We start from the raw sequence: 25,817 nt of genomic DNA on the forward strand, positions 1-25,817 counted from the left end.
AATCCATGGGCATGCAAGTATCAGTTTTATCTTATGAGAATTTCTCCATGTTCCAGTTACTTCATTCCTTATTACATGCTGCAAAAAGCAGTAATAATTTTTATAGCCAAATATCACTTCGTAAGATACCAGGTGGCTTTCAATATTTACCATATAAGTCATGCATGAAATTTAAACATTACAAAAAATGACTTACCAGTTGACACTCCTGAAATATGCACATTTTCAGAATGTTCTGCAAGAGCACCATTTCCTAAAATTAAACATAATGAATAAACTAATATCCAAGATAAAATTACAAAATTTTTTCAGATCCTCCCTTTAAAAGAGAAACAACTACATAGAGTTCCTTTTAATACAGAGAAGCTAAAGTTTCTTATAATAATCTTCAAGACAATACTAGGAAGCTCAAAATCATAATAGTAATGGGGAAAACAAACATTTTGGAAATCTCAACAAGGTAGTGTTATATATAAAGGTCAAATAGATAGATCTGATCAACACCAGAAAGAATTTTCTATCAATTAATAATCAAAAGGGAAGTCAGTACTGCTACAAGAAAAAAGAGAACACAGCTTGTTAAAAATAGCATTCCCCTAAAAGCGTGTCCAAATCAGCCACAAGTCGGTGTAATATCTGTCAGGGCCACATATGTTGGTACTTAAAAAAAAAAAAAAAAAGTCTTGCATTGTCTTCTAAATCTTCAAAAAAATCTTTCAAATTTTTCTCACCAACAATTCTAACAATCTTAAGTATTGCGAATATTTACTCCCTCAAATTAATGTAAGCAATGTCTCTTCAGATATTTGTCTTAAAATTTTGTATTTTATACATCATTAGTTCTAAAGGTTTCTCTCTTTACCCATTAGTTGGATCTGGCATCACAACAGCTCAGAAACCGAACAGACAAAGAATTCTCCTCGGAGTCAGGTGGGGAAGGAAGCTAGTCAGAAAAAGCTTAGAAGGCAAAAGCAGAATTTTCTTTCATGGTTGAGAGTGGAGAAAATAGCAAATATTGTAATTAACAACTTTTTGTTTACAAGTATCACACTTCTATAATTGCTTGAATATTGTATTGCACCCCCCACCCCAATGCACTAAGCTGTAGGAGAACAGAATTTGTGTTTATTTGGCTCCCCACTGTAGGCACAGTTCCTGATACAGAGGAGGCGCACAAATAGCTGAAAGATGAATGAGGGATGTCCTGATGATTAAAATGAAATCATGCCCATTAAGCACTTGATATAGTGCCTGGCACATAGCATTGAACAGGTGTTGATTTTTGTAACTGTGTAAAGTATATTATTGTTACTAAAGAAAAAATAACAGTGATAAAACAATATTTTTGGTTCAACTACAGTTATACCCTTCAAAATGAAAACATACATTATATTTCCCTCAATTAAGAATGAAACAGTGGAAATGATGAGATAGGTGGGAAGGCCATATTAAGTATACAAATAAATGATTATATTCATTTTAAGTACTCTGCACTGATGCCAAAAAAGGCACAATTTCTTTTTCTCATTTATTGTTAAATGTCACACATACAGAATTGAAATGACCAGAAAGACTGTACCCATTTCTTTACCACACAAAAATTATAAAAACAGGCAGCAGAAACAAAACATGAAACTGATTCAATAAAACACCTAAGAAGGTTTGCCAAAGGTCAGTATAAACTGCCTAAATCCTTGCTACTCACGAGTAGACTAGCAGTACTGGCCACCTTGGGAGTGTGCTAGAAATGCAGAGACTCAGGCTCATTCCAGATTATGGAATCTGAATTTATATGCACACTTAGTGATCTATATGCACATTAAAGTTTAAGAAGCACTGGCAAGGTTTGGGCTTAAATCTTCTACTTCTATATTATACATTGCTACAAATCACAGTTACATAATTTGTGATACTAATGTTTCCAGTATCTGTAAGATAGCATATTATGCCCAGGAGAGTTTTAATATCAGATTTTACTTTTTTAAAAAAGAGACAGGGTCTGACTATGTTGCCCAGGCTGGACTAGAACTCTTGGGCTCAAGCAATCCTCCTACCTTAGCTTCCTGAGCAGCTGGGACTACAGGAGTGTACTATCACACCCAGTTTAGATATATTTTAAACATGAAATCTTTTTTCCAGTTTGGTAAACAGAGCAAAAACAGAAGGCAAAAAACCAGCATAATGTAATATTGAAGATTGTGGATTCTGAGCTATATTGCCAGGATTCTAAAACCAGCTCCATTACTTCTTGCTGTGCAATTTAGGGCAAGTTACCCAATCTCTCTGTGCCTCAATTTCATGTTTTAAAATGGAGATAATACCTACCTTATAGGGCTTAGTGAAATTCTTTATAATAGCAAAAAAAAAAAAAAAATCTAAAACTATTATCAACATGCACAGGAATAAACTGATACAGCCTTATAATAAAATATTCAATAAACAAATAATTATATATGTACTAACTTGGATAGATACACATATTAAATTAAAAATGTTTCAGATGAGCAGTAAAGTATGATTTAATTTTAACTTTAAAATTATGTATGTATAGTTTATAATATGCAGATGTTAAACATGTCATATGTATGTCTATGCATTTATATAAACACTGATGAGCCTAAGGGTATAACACTGATGTGGAGGAAAACCTCTGGAACTGGAATTAGAGAGGAAGATTTGAATTGTATACTTTAGCATTGGCCAAATTTGTTACAAACAGGCACAGATTTCTTTAAAAATTTTATTTATATTACAAAAAAGGAGAAACAGGTGAACAGAATATATAGTTCATTCCCATCATTCTGGATAAACAGAAATCTGGTAAATATCATGCTAATTATAACATATTAAAATTTCATTAAAGTATTAATGATTTTAAAAACTGGTTAACACTTTAAAACAGAAAACATGATACTGCTAATTAATTTCCCACACATTTACTCTAGCTTAAAAACAATACTATTTAGAAGTTAAAAGAAATCAATGATAATTTCTGTTAACATCAAAGTGATGTTTCTGCTTCTGAACATCACTTGAAGAAGTGGGCTACTTAATTTATGTGTACTACCATTCTAAAAAATATGTTTATGAAGATGTCACTTTCAATTATTTCTAGGTTACCAGTAGATAGCCCAAAGAAAATCGCTTTGTTAACACAAAGCAAATTACATTCTCCTTAATGCCCCCTCCCAAACCCCAAGAAAATTTCATATATATGAATATGAACACCCACCACCAATCTTACTATGACTAGTGTTCAAATGCAGCCATGTCAGATATTTTTTCAGACGTCACCCTTTAGAGGTAGCAAATACTAAAAAAAAAAAAAAGTCTGATAAAACATTACTTCTTTAACTACACATTAGCAGCTAATTATGTAATGAACCAGTTAAGTAGATAAACCCTAAAAAAGATTTTTCACGTACGAAAAAGTTTGATTATCACCTAAATCAGAAAATAGTTTGTTATAACAATTTTTTGGTCTCACTAAACACCAAGAAGTAATCAACCAACCCCATTTATTGCTTTCTGTAGTTTTGACTACAATATGAGAGAGAATCAACTAAAATAGATGCTGCTTTAGGAAAGAAACTATACAACAGTGATATGAAGTTTAAGTTCTAGAGTCAGACTCCTGTAATAAAATCCCAGCTCTACTATTTATATAGTCATGAACTTCAAATGACTCCTAAGATTCAGTTTGCTCACTTATATAATGGGGATGTTATCATAAGAGAATGTCTAAATTTATAGTCTGTGCATCCCTGTTGCTTTATTAACTTTGTCTTCTTTTATATATTTCTGTCCTTTTTATTTAAGAACTAAAGTTCTTAAGAATAGCTAATAAATACACCTAAGATTTGATAGGTATGTACCAGCCAAATCCTAAGTGCCTTACAAGCGTTCACTCAGCTAATCCTTAAAACAACAGTTCATTTTACAAATGAGAAAACCAAAGCTTCTAGTAGTTTGGTAATTTTTTTTTCCAAAGAGCTAGTAACTGCGTGGATTGAACATTCAAATACACAGTCATTAAAAAGTCTGTATTCCTCACCTCTTAAAAAGATTTCAGGTTCAATACTAATTCCCACATTAAAAAGTTTGTGTTCCTTACTTTTTTTAAAAAAGGATTCAGACATGAATATATTTCTTGCTTGTAAAAGAAATAGTGCTTAGCTCTCAGAATTAAAATCTACCTGCCACAGCATTCCAATTTGAAAGAAAAACATTGGTTTAAAAGTTAAATGACTGTCAGCTACAAGAAATGAAAATGCTCAGCTTCCTACAATTTCTTTTCTACTGCTCAGTGAGAATAGTTATCAAATATAAACACATATATAAACATATAAACCAAAAAAGCAAAGATGGTTCCTATTTTATTGTACTTAAGGGAAAAGTTCATAATCCTAATAGGGCTTGCCAAGCTCTCCACAGTCCGATTCTTCCTAACTACTTCTAAATCTTTACCTCTTGTGACCCACTTTCCCATTCTATCTCTTCTTTCCAGTAATAATGGATCTCCTTTAGAAAAGTATCAACTGTCTCTCTTGCCTTTGGATTTTCATTAAACATTATTTCTTTAGGGAGGTATCTCTTGATTCTCCCATACTAGGTTAGGTCATTCTGTTATAGACTCCTTTAGCATCTGACACTGTCACTTTTTGAAAATTTATCACATTTGTTTTATCTGTGTAATGCCTATATTCCTTACTAGATCTTAATTTTGGGGTGGGGGGAGTATTCTGATGGGACACAGCAGGGTTTTGTTTTGCAACCCCAGCGACTAGTACAAAACATAACACATAGCAGGGAATACTTAGTCCATGTAAGTAAGAGGCATGCAGAATCCCTGCTCCTGAAGAGTTGGTAGTCTGTTGACAAAATAATTGAAAATATATAAAACAGAAGCAAACAAAATATAATTAGCAAGCTTCTTATTCAAGGGGAAAGCCTAGAGGCTTTTCTACTAAAAATAGGGATGAGGACAGGAGTGGCCACTATAGTTACTAATATTAGACAGTGCGATTAGACAAGAATTGTTTTAAAAAAAAAGTAAAACTGTGTCCATGTGCAGATTATATCTACTTGGAAAACCCAAGACAGTCAATAGAAAAATAACTATAAAGAACAGGAAAATTTAGTAAGGTAGTAGGATATAAAATAAGCATACAGAAATCCAAAGCATTTGTAAATATAAACAATAGCCAGTTGGAAGACATGGCAGAAGACCCCATTTTCAGTTGCAATGAAAAAAGATTAAAAGAAAAAGCTCATGGAACTGCTGCTGGTTATAAAAGAGGAATTAGCAACAGATCAGCAATTCTGCTGTGAACAATTAAGAAAACAGAAAAATATGTAAAAAAAAAAAAATCAGACACTGGGCAACAGGCAATGTAAGACTGTGATCCCTGAGAAAAGGGAAACAAATTAAGGTGAGTCCTATTACTGCCCTTTCTGCCTGGAGACTTCCTGGACTCTGGCATATTGAGGGAGAACCCAAGCAAAGCAGGGAGATCTTGCTAAGCTGAGGAGACAGAGATGAGAGTTTAGAGGGGCTCAGGCAACAGAAACATTGAGAGTATCAGTATCAGTTTTTTAAGACAACAACACAAAAAACAAAAACCTCCAAAATTTGCATCACGGTCCTAGTCTTAGGCTGAATGTCAAGCTGCACATGTGTAAGGTGACACCATATAAGAATAGGCAAAGAACTACCACTGAAAGCTTAAATAAACACTTCCATCTCACAAATCTGGAAGACGCTAAAGTTCTGACCAGCAAGAGAGAGCTCCAAAGTGGAGAGACCTTGATAAACACATGGGTATTACCAGACCAGGAAGTCCACCCACACCTTAGGAGTAGAGCTAACTGCCAAGTAAAAGCTACTCTGTAATTATCCTAGCAAAGCTTTAAAACAAGCTTCAACTAGAACTCTCAAAAATTGCCAGTGGGAATATAAAATAGTACAACCACTTTGGAAAACAGTTCTTTCAAGATGAACATATAGATATATGACCTAACAATTCCACAACTAGGTAAGGGAAATGAAATCATATAAAAAAGACAAAAAAGAATTCCAAAAACATAGAGTAAAAGAAGTAACACAAAAGTATTCATTCTGTACGATTCTATTCTGTTCTATAAAGTTCTAGAACAGGAAACAATAATCTATAGTGACAGAGAGATCAGTGGTTGCCTGATCTCTCTGTGTGTTATTTTGTCAGGCTGTGTGCTGGCTTCCTCATCATCCTGACAAAATAACTACAGCACTTCCAAGTACCACATCCAGGGGAAGAGACAGTATTTGTATCTCATCACTTGCAACCAAAAGCCTTGATATTCATTCTGTTTAGAACAGCTTAGGTCACATGCCCAACCTTGTCAAGGAAAACAAAATGGAATACGATGATAGGCGTAAGCCTAGGAGTGAGGTGTTGAATTACATTTTCTGAAGCATTTAAGGGCATTGTTAAAAAGAGAAAAAGGATAACTGGACGGTAGGCAATCAACAAATAGCTACTATCGCATTTTCCCTTTCAAATAAAATCCAATGCCTTGTCCTTGCATTCAGGATCTACATAGTATAGGCTCCAAATATACTTTTCAATTTTAATTTCCCATACTCCTTGTGCATCAAACACATTAGTCTTCTGCCCTGTTTAAAAAACAAAAACAAACACAACCACCACAACCCAAAACCACAAAAATCCTCTTCTCCCTCTATCTTCACTTATCAAATTTTTAGAGAAATTTCAAGGCTCAATTAAATGTTACCTCAGCCATAAAGCTTCTGGAGATCACCTCAAGCAGAAGTAATTCTTTTAAACTCCTATGGTCAACATTTTGCATTCTTGAATGAATGAATGGATTCAGCCATTGACTATCAGTAACTGCTAACATCAGAAAAAAAGGACAATGAGACATCACACATCATGGGCCTCCTAATGGAAGAACACAAAGAAAGAGAAACCTGAATTTGATCAAGACTCTATCTAAAGCAGCACTGACTAACAGAACTTCCCACACGATGGAACTGTTCTATCAAGGCACTGCCCAATGTGGTAGCCATTAGCCACATGTAGCTATTAATCATTTAAAATGAGCCTAGTGTACTTTAGCAACTACGTTTTTTATTTTATTTAATTTTAATTAATTTAACCTTAAATTTAAAATAGCTCATGTGGCTGACGGCTACTGTATTAGGCTTTATAGCTCTAAATCCATTTACCAGTTTACTGAAAAAGCAAACGACAGAGGACCATTTTAAATCATATTACAGAAGAATACTCAACAAACTCCAGAATGAAAAACTCTAAATTGTTTCAACAAATATATATATTTTTAAAGTTGTGAAGAAAGTCCACAGATTGAAAAAGGCTTAAAGGAAGTACTGAATAATAACAAACTGTGGACCTCATTTAGATTCTGATTCATAAACAAACACTTAGGACATTAATGAGACGACTGTAAACACAAACCAGTTTGGTTTTATAAAACTGAGGAAAAATTAACAATCATTCCTAAGATAATGGCATGGCACTTATATTGATTTAAAAAGAAAGCATATTTGTTCTTTTAGAGATGCACTCTAAAATATTAGTGGATGAAATGATGTCTGGTATTTCTTCAAAATATGCAGAAGAATTTAACAGGCTAGCAAGGAGGCAGATTGGCTCTGGGTTAATAACTGCTGTTAGGGCCTAGGTTTTGGGTACATAGGGGGTCATTATCCTGTCCTATCTATTTTCACAAATATTTGAAATTATCCATAGGAAATTTTTTAAACAAAAAAAAACCCCTCTGATAGCATATTATACAACACACAAAATATTCTGGATTTGAGATTTGTACAAATGACTTATGAATCTTAAAACATGTAGGTGAATTAAGATCAGGGTTAATATCATAAGCATTGTTTTATTCCTCTCAGTATCTTAATCTAGTATCACATATACAAATTATGCAAAATAATATTTCCAATAATTATAGTTTTAAATTTCTTTCTTAGTTTTATGGTAAGACAGCACTGTAAAGAATCTTATAGATAATTCATGTCAAATTATGTGAGAAGATAAAAAAAAATGAGGGAGGAGGGCTCAAAACCCAGGTCCTAGAATCCTCAAATCTGATATGCTGTAGCCTGATCATCACTTTTTGTGAAGATATATATGCAGAAAACAAAGCCATGCAAATACATATTTTTTTACTACCTGTAAGGCCAAACCCTAATATAGTTTGCCAAAAAGGCAGGCTTGATAGCGGAGGCCTCATTTTGCTTGTGTTACATGTCGGCAGGCCTAACATCTAGAATCAAAGTGTGCAGAGTGGTCACTTTCTCACTGAGTGAGAACATTTTCAGTGAATTTTGGTCCTCTGCTAAATAAGGTAAGGGTGGGGGCTCTATCCAAGAAGGCTGGTGTCCTCTTATAAGAAGAGGAGATACCAGAGATCTCTGTCCACACATACTATATGAGGACACAGTAAGAGAAGAGGCCATGTGAGGACACAGTAAGGAGGACACTGCATGCTAGGAAAAGAGGCCATACCAGAAACCAACCCTGACAACACCTAAATCTTGGACTTCTAGCCTCCAGAACTGAGAGAAAACAAATTTCTGTTGTTTAAACCACCCAGTCTGTGGTATTGTTATGGTAGTCCAAATAGACTCATATACCTACTTTCCCCATGTAGGTCTAGATGAAGATTTTTGGGAATCCCTTTCAAGTGTATGACAAATTCAGTACATTCTTCTAAGGAAAGGCTCCATAATGTCTAACAAATACCTATAATGAGATGTTTACTTTTGTAAAAAAGGTTATGAAATCCCTGAGAAATAAGATATTTTCCTGATTGATTTAATTACTGGTATCCTAAAAGTATTATTTCTGTAACTTTTTAATTGTGGCCATCCATTATGTATTTATATGAACTAGCCTTGAACCTATTTCCCACTTAAAATAATAGTAATAATTATTTATAACATTACTTTTAATGAAAAGATACATTATAATTTTTAAACCCCATTCTTTTGTTGTTGTTGTTGAGACAGAGTCTCGCTCTGTCGCTAGGCTAGAGTGCTGTGGCACGATCTCAGCTCACTGCAAACTCCGACTCCCTGGTTAAAGCAATTCTCCTGCCTCAGCCTCCCGAATAGCTGGGATTACAGGCACGTGCCATCACGCCCAGCTAATTTTTGTATTTTTAGTAGAGACGGGGTTTCACCATGTTGGCCAGGATGGTCTCGATCTCCTGACCTCATGATCCACCCGCCTCAGCCTCCCAAAGTCCTGGGATTACAGGCGTGAGCCACCGCGCCCGGCCAAACCATATTCTTAATGGACCTTTGGGAGTTCAGTGTTTTTATATGTTTAGACTTCCTGTAGTATTATGTTAGTAAGATTTTATGTTTGAAATGTCTTGGAAATAAGGATATAATGACAACGAACTACTATATTGTTTAAAGTACAAATACTAAACAAGCACATGCTCCTAGTATTCAGAGAATGAATCAGATCCCTTAAAGAACATGCAGAGATCTTTATGCACCCTACTGCTGAGCATCTCAGTGAGTGTTCACACAGGTGAAAATCACCTTCTCTATTCTAAAATTAGCTTGAGCTACTGATAAAAGAGCTCACAACATAAACTGGAAAAGGAATTTTAGGACTACTAAGTTCAAAGGTTCCTACCTATGACTGTGGTTCACAAGAATAAATATGAGTTTGAAAGAATTCAGAACGCCAGGAAAAAAAATTACACACCTATATTTCTTACAGTAACAGCTTTATTGAAAGATATTTTATATCACGAACTTCATCTTTTTTCAAGTGCACAATGGGTGGTTTTTAGTATATTCAGGAAGTTGTACAACCATCACCACCACCATCTAATGCCTGAACATTTTCATCACCGCCTCAAAAAACTTTGTACCTATCAGCAGTTATTCCCCTTTTTCTCTTCCCCACATCCCCTAGCAACAGGTAATCTAGTTTTTCTGTCTGTATGGATTTGCCTATTCTGGTCATTTCAAATAAATGGAATCATACAATATGTGGTCTTTTGTGTCTGACTTCTTTCACCTAGCCTTATGTTTTCATGATTCATCCTTGTACCATGACTCAGTACTTCATTTGTTTTTATGGCTGAATAATATTCCATTATCTGGATATATCACATTTTGTTTACATATTCACTAGGTGACAGACATTTAGGTAGTTTCTACTTTTTGTGAATAGCATTGCTATGAATATTGGTATACAAGTTTTTATATAGACATATGTTTTCAATTATCTTTAGTATGTAGAGAGAGTGGAACTGGTGGGTCATATGGTATCCCTATGTTTTCCTTTCTGAGGAACTGCCAAGCTGTATTCCAAATGGCAATACCATTTTACATTCTGATCAGCAACACATAAGGGTCCATTTCTCCACATCCTTGACAACATTTGTTATTGTCCACCTTTTTCATTTTAGCCATCCTATGGGTGTGAAGTGATATATCATTATGGTTTTGATCTGCACTTCCCTAATGAGTAATAATGTGGCTCTTTTCATGTGCTTAACAGCCACTTATGCTATTCTTTGGAGAAACGTCCTTTCAAATCCTTTGCCCATTTCTTAATTGGCTGGATTGTCTTTCTGTTATTGCTGAGTTGTTTAAGAGTTCTTTAGACATTGTAGATATTGATCCCTTGGTTAGATACATAATTTGCAAATATTTTCTCCCATTCTATAAGCTGACTTTTCAGTGTCTTGATAGTGCCCTTTGAAGCACAAGTGTTTTTAATTTTCAGGACAGTCTAATTTACCTATGTCTTCTTTTGATGCTTGTGCTTTGGTCACAATTTATAATTATACAGTTGACCCCTGAACAACACAGGGGTTAGGGGTGCTAACCCTTCTGCACAGTCAAAAATCTGCATATAACTTTTGATTCCCCCAAAACATAACTTCTAGGAGCCTATTGCTGACTGGAGGCCTTACCAATAACACAAACAGTTGATTAACACATATTTTCTATGTTACATGTATTACAGACTGTATTCTTACAATAAAGTTAGCTAGAGAAAAGAACATGTCATTAAGAAAATCACAAGGAATAGAAAATGTATTTACTGTTCATTAAGTGGAAGTGAATTACTGTTTTCATGGTGAGTAGGCAGAGGAGGAGGAGGAAGTGGTAGAGAAGGAGTTTGTCTTGCAGTCTCAAGAGTGGCAGAGGTAGAATGAAGTTAGGAAAAGTTTGTGAAAGACATATTTGCGTGTGTTTATAGAACACACACAAATATATATATATATATATAAATATATATACACACACACATACACATACACCCAAAGAAGCATGCACAAAGACACTGAGTGCTGTTACTCAGGTATTTTATTCTCATTTAAGGAACTAAACTTTTATATACTTAAGTACAGGCTAACTCTTTTTATTGCACTTTGCTTTATGATACTTTGCAGATACAGTGTTGTTTTTCTGTTGTTGTTTTGTTTACCAAATTGGAGGTTTGTGGCATCCCTACATAGAGCAAGTCTATCAGTACCATTTTTCCAAGAGAATGAGGTCACTTTAGGTCTCTGTTGTCACATTTTGGCAATTCTTGTAATATTTAAAACTTTTTCATTACTATTGTATTTGTCATGGTGATCTGTGATCTGAGATCTTTGATGTTACGACTGTAATTGCTTTGAGGTGCCATAACATGAACTGTGCCTATAAAAGAGGGTAAACTTAACTGACGAATACTGTGTGTGTTCTGATTGTTCCATCAACAAGCTGTCTCTCCCTCTCCTCGGGCCTCCCTCTTCCCTGAGACACAACAATATTGAAATTAGGCCAATTAATAACCTTATAATGATCTCTAAGTGTTCAGGTAAAAGGAACACTCACACATTTCTCACTTTAAATCAAAAGCTATAAATGGGCTGGGCACAGTGGCTCACACCTGTAATTCCAGCACTTTGGGAGGCCAAGGTGGGTGGATCACCTGAGGTCAGGAGTTCAAGACCAGCCTTGACAACATGGTGAAACCCTGTTTCTACTGAAAACACAAAAATGAGCTAGGCGTGGTGGCGCATGCCTGTAATCTCAGCTACTTGGGAGGGAGAGGCAGTAGAATCACCTGAACCTGCGAGGCGGAGGTTGCAGTGAGCCGAGATCTCGCCACTGCACACAAGCCTGGGCGACAAAGTGACACTCCATCTCAAAACAAAACAAAACAACAACAACAAAAATGAAGATTAGTAAGGAAGGCCTTTATTAATTAAGGAAGGTCTAGCTGAAAGCTAAAGAGTTAGTCAAGTTGTGTATGCAAAAGAAAAAGTTTCTAAAAGAAATTAAAAGTGCAACTCCAGTGAAAACACAAATGATAAGAAAGCAAAACAACCTTACTGTTGATAGAGAGAAAGTTTTGATGGTCTGGAAAGAAGATCAAACCAGCCACAACATCGCCTTAAGCCAAAGCCTAACACAGAGCAAGGCACACAGAACACTTCAATTCTACGAAGGCTGAGAGAGGTGAGGCGGCTTCAAAAGAAAAGTTGGAATCTAGCAGAGGTTGGTTCATGATGTTTAAGGACAGAAGCACTCTACATAACATAAAAGTGCAAGGTGAGGCTGTAAGTACTGATGGAGACACTGCTGCAAGTTATCTAGAAGATCTAGCTAAGATCACTAATGAAGGTGGCTACACGAGGCAACAGATTCTCAATGTAGATGAAACAGCCTTCTATTGGAAGAAGATGTCATCTAGGACTTTTCCTAGCGAGAGAGAAGATATCAATGCCTGGCTTCAAAGCTTCAAAGGACAAGCTGACTCTCCTGTTGCAGGCTAATGCAGCTCGTGACTTTAAGTTGAAGCTAATGATTATTTACCATTCCAAAAATCCTAGGGCCCTTAGGAATTAAGCTAAATCTGCTCTGCTTGAACAAAGCCTGGGTGACAGCACATTGTAAACATCTGTTTACAGCATTGTTTACTGAATATTTTAAGCCCACTCTTGAGACCATCCGCTCAGAAAAAAAGATTCCTTTCAAAATATTCCTGCTTGCTGGCAATTCACCTGGTCACCCAATAGCGCTGATGGAGATATATAAGGAAATCCACATATTTCCATGCCTGCTAACACAACATCCACTCTGCTGCCCATGAATCAGGAGTAATTTCAACTTTCAAGCCTATTATTTAGGAAACACATTTTGTAAGGCTATGGCTGCCACAGCGAGTCCTCTGATGGGATCCAGGCAAAGTAAATTGAAACCTCTCAAAAGGATTCACCATTCTAGATGTCATTAAGAACATTCATGATTCCATTGGAGGTCAATGAACTGTAACCTAACAGGAGCTTGGATGAAGTTGATTCCAACCCTCATGTATGACCTCTGAGGTGTTTCAAGGCTTCAGTGGAGGAAGAAACTGCAGACGTGGTGGAAATCGCAACAGAACTAGAATTAGAAGTAGAGCCTGAATATGTGACTGAATTGCTACAATCTCCAGAGAAAACTTTAATGGATGAGGAGTTGTTTTTTAGGGATCAGCAAAGAAAGTGGTTTCTTCAGATGCAATCTATTCCTAGGGAAGATGCTGTCAACATTGTTGGAATGACAACAAAAGATTTAGAATATTACATAAACTTAGTTGATAAAGCAGCAGCAGGGTTTGAAAAGACTGACCCCTATTTTGAAAGACATTCTACTGTGGGCAAAAGGCTATCAAACAGCATCACATGCTACAGAGAAAGCTTTTATGAAGGTTTCTGATGTGACAAACTTCATTGCTGTCTTATTTTAAGAAATTGCTACAGCTACTGCAATCTTCAACAACCACTACCCTGACAGTCAGCAGCCATCAACACTGAGGCAAGACCTTTAACCAAGAGAAGAATTGTAACTTGTTAAAGGCTCAGATGATCATTAGAATTTCGAAGCAATAAAATATTTTTAAATTAAGGTATATATATTTTTTAGATATGTCATTGCATACTTAACAGACTACAGTATAGTATAAACATAACTTTTATATGCACTGGAAAACCAAAAAATACACGTGACTCACTTTATTGTGACATTCACTTTATTGTGGAGGTCTGGAACCAAACCATATCTCTGATGTATGCCTGTATATTACTTATGCTTCTAATTTTTCTTCTTGGTTTATTAAGTTTTATAGCTTATTACTAAACAGTGGGTAATTAGCTTGTAGATTATATTATAACACTTCTGCAAAGTAACTAAGTGACCTGCTTTACTCATATTATGTATCAAGCACAGTACCCAAATTGATAAATCCAGTACATGGTTTGCACAGTATAGGAGAAGAGTATATTGGACTAATAAAGGTAGTTTTTTCTTTCTTGTTTCCCAGTGGGCAAGATCTTTCACACTGTGGGGCTTGTAACTGGGGCTCAGAGGGGACAGTAAGAGACTAGCGATAAAAATGTTAGAAACCTTTGGTATCAACTCTATTTTATTAACAGTTGATGTAACTGGAGTACACAGAAAAGGGAAAGGCAGTTATCTTTATAAAATCAGCTTTGTTGAGGTATAACTTATATGCAAAAAATCCATCAACTTCAAGGGTTTGATAAGTGCGAACAAATATGTCCAGTCAAGCAACCAACACTACAATCAAGACACAAAACATTTCCATAACCCAAAAAAGCTCTCTGATGTTCCCTTGTAATCAATCCCGCTCCCACACCTTTAAAGCTGGACAACCACTAATCACAGTCAACATTTAATAAACATTACACATTGTACGAATTCATGATGTATTATTAAATCTACCTTCTAAAGTTGTAAGAATAGATTCCATCGTCCCCACATTATGGATGCGAAAACTCACTCAGGTTTTCTCATACAATTAACTTAGACAATTCTACAGCTAGTAAGTGGCAGAGACAGACTCAAATCCAGATTTACCCAACTCCAACATTAAAAATTGAGTTTTCACCTAAAAATACTGAATTTCGGGGCTTCTTTTGAAAAAAAATTAGTATCTGTGTACATCTATTTCTGCATACATACTTACTGAGCTGGATCTGTGGCTGACCTCTTTTAGAAGAGGCATGCCATTTTTAGGTGCCCAGTGCCCACTACCTTCCCCTGTCATTCGGAGACTGATCCCAGGCCCTCTTCATTCTTATAATTATTCTTCTTATAATTATTCTTCTTATAATTATTATTATATATATTATATAATTATATATAATTATATATTATATTTTGTATATAATATATAATTATATATCATATATAATTCTATACATTTTGTATATAATATATAATTATATATTCTGTATATAATATATAATTATAAATAATATACAATTCTATATTATATCATACTTTGTATACAATATACAATTCTATATCATAGTTTGTATATAATATATAATTCTGTTATATCATACTTTGTATATAATATACAATTCTATGTTATATCATACTTTGTATATAATATACAATTCTATGTTATATCATATTTTGTATATAATATACAATTCTGTTATATTTTGTATATAATATACAATTCTGTTATATCATATTTTGTACATAATATACAATTCTGTTATATCATATTTTGTATATAATATACAATTCTGTTATATTTTGTATATAATATACAATTCTGTTATATTTTGTATATAATATACAATTCTGTTATATTTTGTATATAATATACAATTCTGTTATATTTTGTATATAATATACAATTCTGTTATATTTTGTATATAATATATAATTCTGTTATATTTTGTATACAATATATAATTCTGTTATATTATATTTTGTATATAATATATAATTGTTATATTTTGTATATAATATATAATTACATATTATATATTAATAATTATTATATATTAATATATAATATATAATAATTATTAATATATAATATATTAATATATAATAAATATATATTAATAATTAAAATATAATATAATTCTATATTATATTTTGTATAATATAAAATCATATATTATATATAATTCTATATTATGTTATATTTTGTATATAATATATAATCATATATAATATATAATTCTATATTATATTTTGTATATAATATATAATTATATATTATATATAATTCTATATACTTTGTATATAATATATAATTCTATGTTATATTTTGTATATAATATACAATTCTGTTATATTACATTTTGTATATAATATACAATTCTGTTATATTTTGTATATAATATACAATTCAATGTTATATTTTGTATATACCATTGTTATATTTTGTATATAATATATAATTGTTATATTTTGTATATAATATATAATTGTTATATTTTGTATATAATATATAATTCTGTTATATTATATTTTGTATATAATATATAATTCTGTTATATTATATTTTGTATATAATTCTGTTATATTATATTTTGTATATAATATATAATTATAATTATATTATATATTAATAATTATTATATATAATATAATATATAATATATATATAAATATATGATATATTTATATTAATATATGATATATTTATATTAATATACGATATATATTATATTAATATATGATATATATTATATTAATATATCATATATTTATATAATATATATTATATAAATATATAATATATATTATATAAATATATAAATATATAATATATATTATATAAATATATTATATAAATATATAATATATATTATATAAATATATGATATATTAATAATTAAAATATATAATTCTATATTATATTATATTTTGTATCTAATATATAATTCTATATTATATTTTGTATCTAATATATAATTCTATATTATATTTTGTATCTAATATATAATTCTATGTTATATTTTGTATATGATATAGAATTATAATTCTATATTATATTTTGTATATAATATAGAATTATATAATTAAATTAATTATATAATTATTATATAATTAAATTAATTATATAATTATTATATAATTAATATGGGTGCAGTGGCTCACGCCTGTAATCCCAGTACTTTGGGAGGCAGGCGGATCACTTGAGGTTGGGAGTTCGAGACCAGCCTGACCAACATGGAGAAACCCCGTCTCTACTAAAAATGCAAAACTGGCTGGGTGTGGTGGTGCATGCCTGTAATCCCAGCTACTCAGGAGGCTGAGGCAAGAGAATCGCTTGAATTCAGGAGGCTGTAGAGAGCTGAGACTGCGCCATTGCACTCCAGCCTGGACAACAAGAGCAAAACTCCGTCAAAAATAAATAAATAAATAAATAAATATGAATCTCAAGTTTATCAGAGGCTTTACAATGAGTGTCAAGGACATACTAGGTCTAAGGTCACTCTGGATCCTGGAGTCATTCATTAGCCCATCTCTTTGCTTCAACTTCAGACCTTTCTTTCCTCTCTTTTGGTTCCCTTGTTTCCTCTTAAATATACATTCAAGTAATTCCTGTCCATTAAAAAACAAAAGCAAAACCACTACTTTCTTGCCAGTGCACCTCCTTCCTTACATTTTCCTATTTTGGTCTTTCTCAGCCAAAGTTTTTGAAAGAAGAATCTATACTGATTAATAGAGCTTCCTTACCTATCATTTACTCCTGAACCCTCCTCAATCTAGCTTTTACCCCTAGCACATCTGAAGCTCATGTGGAAACGGATACCAATGACCTACTTAGAAAACACTTTATCCTAAAAAACATCAACTCTGAATCCACTTTTTTTTTTTTTTTTTTTTGAGACAGAGTCTTGCTCTGTCGCCCAGGCTGGAGTGTAGTGGTACGATCTCGGCTCACCGCAAGCTCTGCCTCCCGGGTTCATGCCATTCTCCTGCCTCAGCCTCCCAAGTAGCTGGGACTACAGGCGCCTGCCACCGCACCTGGCTAATTTTTTGTATTTTTAGTAGAGATGGGGTTTCACCGTGTTAGCCAGGATGGTCTCGATCTCCTGACCTCATGATCCGCCCGCCTCGGCCTCCCAAAGTGTTGGGATTACAGGCGTGAGCCCCCGAGCCCGGCCTCCACTTTTCTTAAAGTTGGAGAAAACCATATAACTACAAAGAACAGTATCACTGTAAATTCATGGTTTCAATTCATCTGGATACTCAATGCTATTGAATAACCTTTAAATAATTGACTCAGCTCTATCTCCAATGCCCTTGAAAACTCTATCAGCCCTCCATTATTTGCGTCAAGTTTCCAACAAACTTCCTCAACCACTATTCTTAGTAAATCGCCTCTCTTTCCAACTATTCAGGGATCTTTTGGCATATTATCCTTTCCCTTTCTAGAAAGTCTGTTCTCAGCATACATGTTCAAAGGTTCAAGTACTCCATATTGATAGATCCCAAATTTCAACCCCTAATCTGAACTTTCTCCTAAACTGCAATTTTTTTATTTGACTCCCAGTAGTCACTGAGCACTTATACTGTGCCAGTCACTGTAGTCGGTACTTTTCATACATCATTACTAATTCTTACAGCACCCCTCTAAAATAGATACTATTCCAGTTTTACATGCAGAAAAAAAGACTCAAAGAAGAGACTTGTTCAAGGTAACAAAAGTGGCAAGTGGTGCTACCAGTATTTAAGCAAATTTGTCTAGCTCAAAGCCCATAATCTTGAAATAATAATAGCAGCTAACGTATGTACTATGTACCAAATGATGGTCTAAGGAATTTCCACGTTTCAGTACATTTAATTTCACAATCACCTTATGAAGGAGGTGTTAGTCCAATTTTTACAATAAATACTGTCTTTTAACTTTCTACTGTACAGTTTTGCCTTAATGTCCTAGGTATCTCAAACTAGGTAGGTGTGAGACTAAACTCTTATCTACCCTCAGTCTGCTCTTCCTCTTATATTCCTTACCTTGGTGAATGACACCAGCATCTCCCAGTTGTTCAAGTAGGAACCTGGAAGTCATTTCAGTTTCTTCCTTATCGTTCCTTCCTTCCTTCCCTTCATGCACTATATATTAAGTTCTCAGTTCTTTCCAACCCTCCTGCTATTTCTTTATTCCATGTCTTTGATATTTCTTTCCTTCTTACTGCATTAAATATAAGCTTCAAAGGGGCAGAACACAGAATAGTGCCTGGTTCATATTAGACAGTCAATGAATATTTGCTGAATGTATAAATAAATGAATTAGCTTGCAAACTGGTTTTCCTACTTTTGGTCTCACAACTCTTTGATCCTTTTTGCACTATTCTCTCATGAATCCTCTATCATTCTTTGCAATGCTACCAGAGATCTTTTTTAAAGGTACATCTGACATTAACCTTCAGCTTATAAAACTGTAACTAGTTCAATTCCTTCCATGTGTTAAGAGTCTCTAAGGCTCACCATAATCTGGCTCTTCTATCTCTCCATCCCTTAAATTTTGCTACTTCTTTTCTGCCTTTACCTTGTACTTATATATTTTGGATTCAGCACTACTAAAATACATACAGTTTCTGAAATTTTGCCATTGTTGAATATGATGTACCCTTTGCATGGAAAAGTTGAGTGCATTGCCACTGGTTACTCTCTAACTCCTTCAACCCAGTTCAGGAAATACAATTCTGTCTACCTTAGGATGAGTTAGGGGTCCTCCTTGATGCTCACATAGTACATTGTATTAGTACGTATTGAGTTATAAGCATATTACTACCACAATCCTCATCATATTTTGGGGTTATCAATATTTAAAAATAATTTCAACTTTTAGATACTGGGGGTATATGTGCAGGTTTGTTACATGGGTAGATTGTGTGATGCTGAGGTTTGGAGTATAGATCCTATCACCCAGATAGTGAGCATAGTACCCAACAGGTAGTTTTTTAACCCACATCCCTCTCCCTCCTACCTCTAGTAGTCCCCAGTGTCTACTGTTCCCATCTTTACGTCTGTGAATGTTTAGCTCCCACTTAAACGTGAGAATATGCGATATTTGGTTTTCTGTTCCTGTGCTAATCCTCTTACGATTATGGCCTCCAGCTGCATTCATGTTGCTGCAAAAGTCATGATTTTGTTCTTTATGGCTGTGTAGTATTCCATATACATATGTACCACATTTTAACTGCTAGTCTTCCACACTAAATGTTGACTACCTCAGGGCAAAGAAAGTCCTTCTCCCCTTCTTTCTTCTCTCCTTCCTTTTCTTTCTTACTCTCTTTCTCCCTGCCTTGCTATTCCCCAGCAACCATCTCCCAATTTATGACACAGTGAGATCTCAGTAAATGTTTGTTGTTTTAATGAATAAAAATTATCAGATTTTGGAATTAGGCATGAAACATCCTCTGCATAATTAACAATTTGGTTTCATATGATACTGTAAGTAAGAGGAGAGAAGGAAAAGGATAAAGAATGTATAAAGAGAAAGCTAGGCATTCTTCCACGAGTGAACGAAGTCAGAAAGCCACAAGTGGAAGATTTCAAACCCAACTATTCCCTTGAATTAGAGAGAAATTTATTATCACTGTCTTTCAAAATGTTTGGTAAATGACTATCAAATATTTTACATTTTGAGCAGCTTCAGTCTTTAGATTGTAAGGGACTTTGCTCTGCATTAGCTTTAGAACTTGTTGGGGATGGGGATACCAAGAAAATGGCATTTTTTAAATTTACCATTTTTGATCTTCAGTGACTCCTGGGTTCTTAACAGCTTATAGCCCATCAATCTAATAAATGTATAAATATGTCTTTTTTTTGTTGTTTTTTTTTTTTTGCCGGGCGTGGTGGTTCATGCCTGTAATCCCAGCACTTTGGGAGGCCGAGGCGGGCAGATCATCTGAGGTTGGGAGTTCGAGACCAGCCTGACCAACATGGGGAAACCCCTTCTCTACTAAAAATACAATTTTTTTTTTCTCTCAGCAAATAGCTAACTTTTCACTTACTTCTACTTAAGTCATCTCATAGCTTACCTACTCTTTCATGGAACCTTAAAGTACTATCTTCCAGTTAACCTGTCAGCTTGGCATTTTTCTACAGAAATATCACATGTGAAGCAGAGAATTATCCTTTTTCACATAATTGATAAAAGTTATCCAATGTAAGAAAAAAAATGGTGCACAGGAGGCAGGACTAACTTGCAGCTCCCACTCAGACAGACAGAGCAGTGTGTGGAGACCCATGTCATGAACTTTTGCTCCAAGAACTACCACAGAAACATACCAAGAAAGCCTAGAGAATCCACAGATCCTTTGAATGAAGCTGCTTGCTGCTGCAGGCTCTGTGAGATAGCCAAAAACTGTGAGTGCCCAAAGTGTGAGGGGGGAACGTTTGCCCCTAAATGCACATCCTCACTGGTCCAGATCATGGGAAAAGAACTTGACCTTACCTGGAGCTGAGATTAATTTAGAAAGCTGAGTGAAATATAGGGGTACAGGAAGCAGTGGGAAGAGCCCTGTGGGCACTCTAGGTCCACAGGGAAGCCATTTCTGACTTTGTCTTCCAGGGGTCCTTGGGGAGGGCTGCCAGTGAAACTGGCAAAAAACCACAGGGAGAAGGAAACTTCCAGTTGAACTTTGTAACAATTTCAACTGAATGTGAAGTTTACTGGACAGAATCCGGGGGAGGGGGAAAATGGGGAGTGCAGATACATGCACAGAAGTCTTGGCAGGGGCAGAGGCATGAAACCTGAAAGCCCTGCTTGCTTTCTCAGCAGGGAAGTTTGTAGACTGGGCCAAGTTCTCAGCCTTGCTCACCGGCTGCCTGGAAATAAACTTGGTGCTGTTGGAGAAGCACGGTGGGAGTGAAACCGGCCTTTCAGGCTGCATGGGAGCTGGGTAAGGCCTGTCATTGCTGGCTTTCCCCCACTTCCCTGGCGACCTGTATGATACAGCAGAGGCAGCCATAATCCTCCTGGGTACGTAACTCCATTGGCTTGAGAACTACACCTTCATTCCCCACAGCAGCTGCAGCAAGCCTTGCCCAAGGAGAGTTTGAGCTCGGCCACACCTAACCCTGCCCCCACCTGATGATCTTTTTCTACCTGCCTGGTAGCCAAAAAACAAAGGACATAATCTCTTGGGAGCTCTGTGGTCCCACCCACTGCCTGAGAAACCTTATCCAGGTGACCTTAGGGCAAGCTTGTATCCTCCTTACACTACCACAGCTGATGCTCTCTTGAAAGTGCCACCTCCTGGCTGGAGGCCAACAAACAAAAAACCAGTGCACTAAACAAAAATACAATCAAGGACCCTCACAGAGTCCACTTCACTCCCATGTTATGTTCACTGGAAAGATGCTGGTATCCATAGCTGAGAGACCTGAAGATGGATCACATCTCAGGACTTATTGCAGACACTCCCCAGTACCAGGCCAGAGCCTGGTAGCTCTGCTGGGTGGCTAGACCCACAAATGAAACAAGAATCACTGCAGTTCACCTCTCAGGAATACTACGGGAAGGGAGAGAACACCACATCAAGGGAGCAACCCATGGGAAAAATGACTCTGAGCAGCAGCCCTTGAGCCCGAGATCTTCCCTCTGACATAGTCTATCCAAATTAGAAAGAACCAGAAAAAAAATTCTGGCACTATAACAAAACAAAGTTCTTTAACACCCCCAAAAGATCACACTAGCTCACCAGCAATGGATCCAAACCAAGAAGAAATCTCTGACTTGCCAGAAAAAGAATTCAGATGGTCGATTATTAAGCTACTCAAAGAGGCATCAGAGAAAGGTGAATACCAACTTTAAGATTTTTTTTTTAAATGTTACAGGATATGGCCAGAAAAATCTCCAGATAAATAGATAGCATAAATAAAAAACAATCACAACTTCTGGAGATGAAGGGCACACTTAGAGAAATGGAAAATACATTGGAAAATTGAAACAACAGAACAAGTAGAAGAAAAAACTTCAGAGCTTGAAGACAAGGCTTTCAAATTAATCCAATCTGATATAAACAAGGAAAAAAGAATTAAAAATAAAATGAACAAAGACTCCAAGAAATTTGGGATTATGTTAAATGACCAAACCTAAGGATAATCGGTGTTCCTGAGGAAGAATAGAAATCTGAAAGTTTGGAAAACATATCTGAGGGAATAATCAAGGAAAACTTCCCTGACTTTGCTAGAGATCTAGACGTTGAAATACAAAGCTCAAAGAACACTCAGGTGATTCATCATAAAAAGATCATCACCTAGGCACACAGTCATCAGGTTATCTAAAGTCAAGATGAAGGAAAGAATTCTAAGGGCTGTGAGGCAAAAGCATCAGGTAACCTATAAAGTAAAACCTATCAGATTAACAGCAGATTTCTCAGCAGAAACCTTACAAGCTAGAAGGGATTGGGGTCCTATCTTTAGCCTCCTTAAACAAAACAACTATCAGCCAAGAATTCTGTATCCAGCAAAACTAAGCTTCATAAATGAAAGATACAGCCTTTTTTAGATAAACAAATGCTGAGAGAATTTGCCACTACCAAGTGAACACTACAAGAACTGTTAAAAGGAGCTCTAAATCTTGAAACCAATCCTTGAAATATACCAAAATAAAACCTCCTTAAACCATACATCTCAAAGGACCTATAAAACACAATGAAATATCACAATGAAACACAATGAAATAACACAATGAAAAATAACACAATGAAAACAAACAAGGTATTCAGGCAACAAATAGCATGATGAAAAGAATAGTACCTCGCATTTCAATACCAACATCGAAGGTAAATGGCCTAAATCCTCCACTTAGAAGACATAAAATGCCAGAATAGATAAGAATTCGCCAACCACGTATCTGCTGTCTGCAAGAGACTCATCTGAAACATAAACACTCACAAAGATATTCCATGCAAATGGAGACCAAAAGTGAGCAGAAATGGCTATTCTTATATCAGACAACATAAACTTGAAAGCAACAACAGTAAAAAAGAAATAAATAAATAAAAACACAAAGAGGGACATTATATAATGATAAAAGGACTAGTCCAAAGGAAAATATCACAATCCTAAATATATATGCACCTAACACTGGAGCTCTCAAATTTACAAAACAATTACTAATAGACCTAAGAAATGAGATAGAGAGCAACACAATATTAGTGGCAGACTTCAATACTCTACTGACAGCACTAGATAGGTCATCAAGACAGAAAGTCAACAAAGAAACAATGGACTTCAACTATACCCTAAAACAAATGGACTTAACAGATATTTACAGGATATTCCACCCAACAACTGTAGAATATACATTCTATTCATCAGCACATGAACAGTCTCCAAGATAGACCAAATGAAAGGCCACAAACGAGTCTCAATAAATTTAAGAAAATAAAAATTACATCAAGTTCTCTTTTAGACTACAGTGGAATAAAATTGGAAATCAACTCCAAAAGGAATCCTCAAACCCATGCAAATGGATGGAAATTAAATAACCTGTTCCTGAATGATAATTGGGTCAACAATGAAATCAAGATGGAAATTTAAAAATTATTTGAATGGCACAATAGTGACACAACCTATCAAAACCTCTGGAATACAGCAAAAGCAGTGCTATGAGGAAAATTCATAACATTAACTGCCTACATCAAAAAGTCTGAAAGAACACAAATAGACAACTTAAGGTCACATCTCAAGGAACTAGAGAAACAAGAACAAACCCAGCAGAAGAAAAGAAACAAAGATCAGAGCAGAACTAAATGAATTTGAAACAAATAAAAACAATACAAAATATATATAAACAAAAAGCTGGTTCTTTGAAAAGATAAATAAAATTAACAGACCATCAGTGAGATTAAGCAAGAAGAGAGAAGATCCAAATAAGCTTAATTAGAAATGAAATGGGAGATATTACAACTGATATCACAGAAATACAAAAGATCATTCAAGGCTACTACAAACACCTTTATGCACACAAATGAGAAAACCTAGAGAAGATGAATAAATTCCTGAAAAATAGGAGGAAACAGAAACTCTGAACAGATCAATAACAAGCAGCAAGGCTGAAATAATTAAAAAATTGTTCACAAAAAAAAGTCCAAGACCAGACGGATTCACAGCTGAATTCTATCACACATTCAAAGAAGAATTGGTACCAATCCCATTAACACTATTCCAAAGATAGAGAAAGAAGGAATCTTCCCTACATCATTCTATGAAGCCACCAGCATCACCCTAATAACAAAACCAGGGAAGGACATAACAAAGAAAACTACAGACCAATATCCCTGATGACCACAGATACAAAAACCCCCAACAAAATACCAGCTAACCAAATCCAATAGCATATAAAAAGATAACCCACCATGATCAAGTGGGTTTCATATCAGAAATGCAGAAATAGTTTAACATACACAAGTCAATAAATGTAATACACCACATAAACAAAAATTAAAAACAAAAATCACAATCATCTCAATAGACACAGAAAAAGCATTTGACAAAATACAGCATCCCTTTATAATTAAAACCCGCAGTGGAATCAACATAGAAGGTACATACATTAAGGCAATAAAAGCCATCTATGACAAACCCATAGCCAACATTATACTGAACGGGGAAAGTTGAAAGCATTTCCCCTGAGAACAGGAACAAGATTGCGCACTTTGACTACTTCTATTCAAGGATGCCCACTTTCACCACTTCTATTCAACATAGTACTGGAAGTCTTAGCCAGAGCAATCAGACAAGAGACAAAGGGCATCCAAATTGGTAAAAAGGGAGTCAAACTGTCGCTGTTTGCCAATGATATAATCCCATACCCAGAAAACCCTAAAAATTCATCCCGAAAGCTCCTAGAACTGATAAATGAATTCAGGAAAGTTTCAGGATACAAATTTAATCTACACAAATCAGTAGCACCACTATACACCAACAGTAACCAGGCTGATAATTAAATCAAGGACCCAATTTGCAATAG

General features: G+C 34.9%; 1 protein-coding gene across 2 annotated transcripts in view; it reads right to left on the reverse strand.

Annotated features, from left to right (window-relative positions):
• LRP12 (LDL receptor related protein 12) overlaps positions 1-25,817 on the reverse strand; it is a 100,023-nt gene that overhangs the window by 42,475 nt on the left and 31,731 nt on the right. Inside the window, exon 2 of one of the 2 annotated variants that reach the window (NM_013437.5) lies at positions 197-253. The exons of the other annotated variant lie outside the window; for it this stretch is intronic. Coding sequence (NP_038465.1) covers positions 197-253 — 57 coding nt within the window. The remainder of the gene's footprint in view (positions 1-196; positions 254-25,817) is intronic. 2 annotated transcript variants of the gene reach the window in all.

Source organism: Homo sapiens, chromosome 8, assembly GCF_000001405.40.
Source record: "Homo sapiens chromosome 8, GRCh38.p14 Primary Assembly".
NCBI classification, from domain to species: Eukaryota; Metazoa; Chordata; class Mammalia; order Primates; family Hominidae; genus Homo; species Homo sapiens.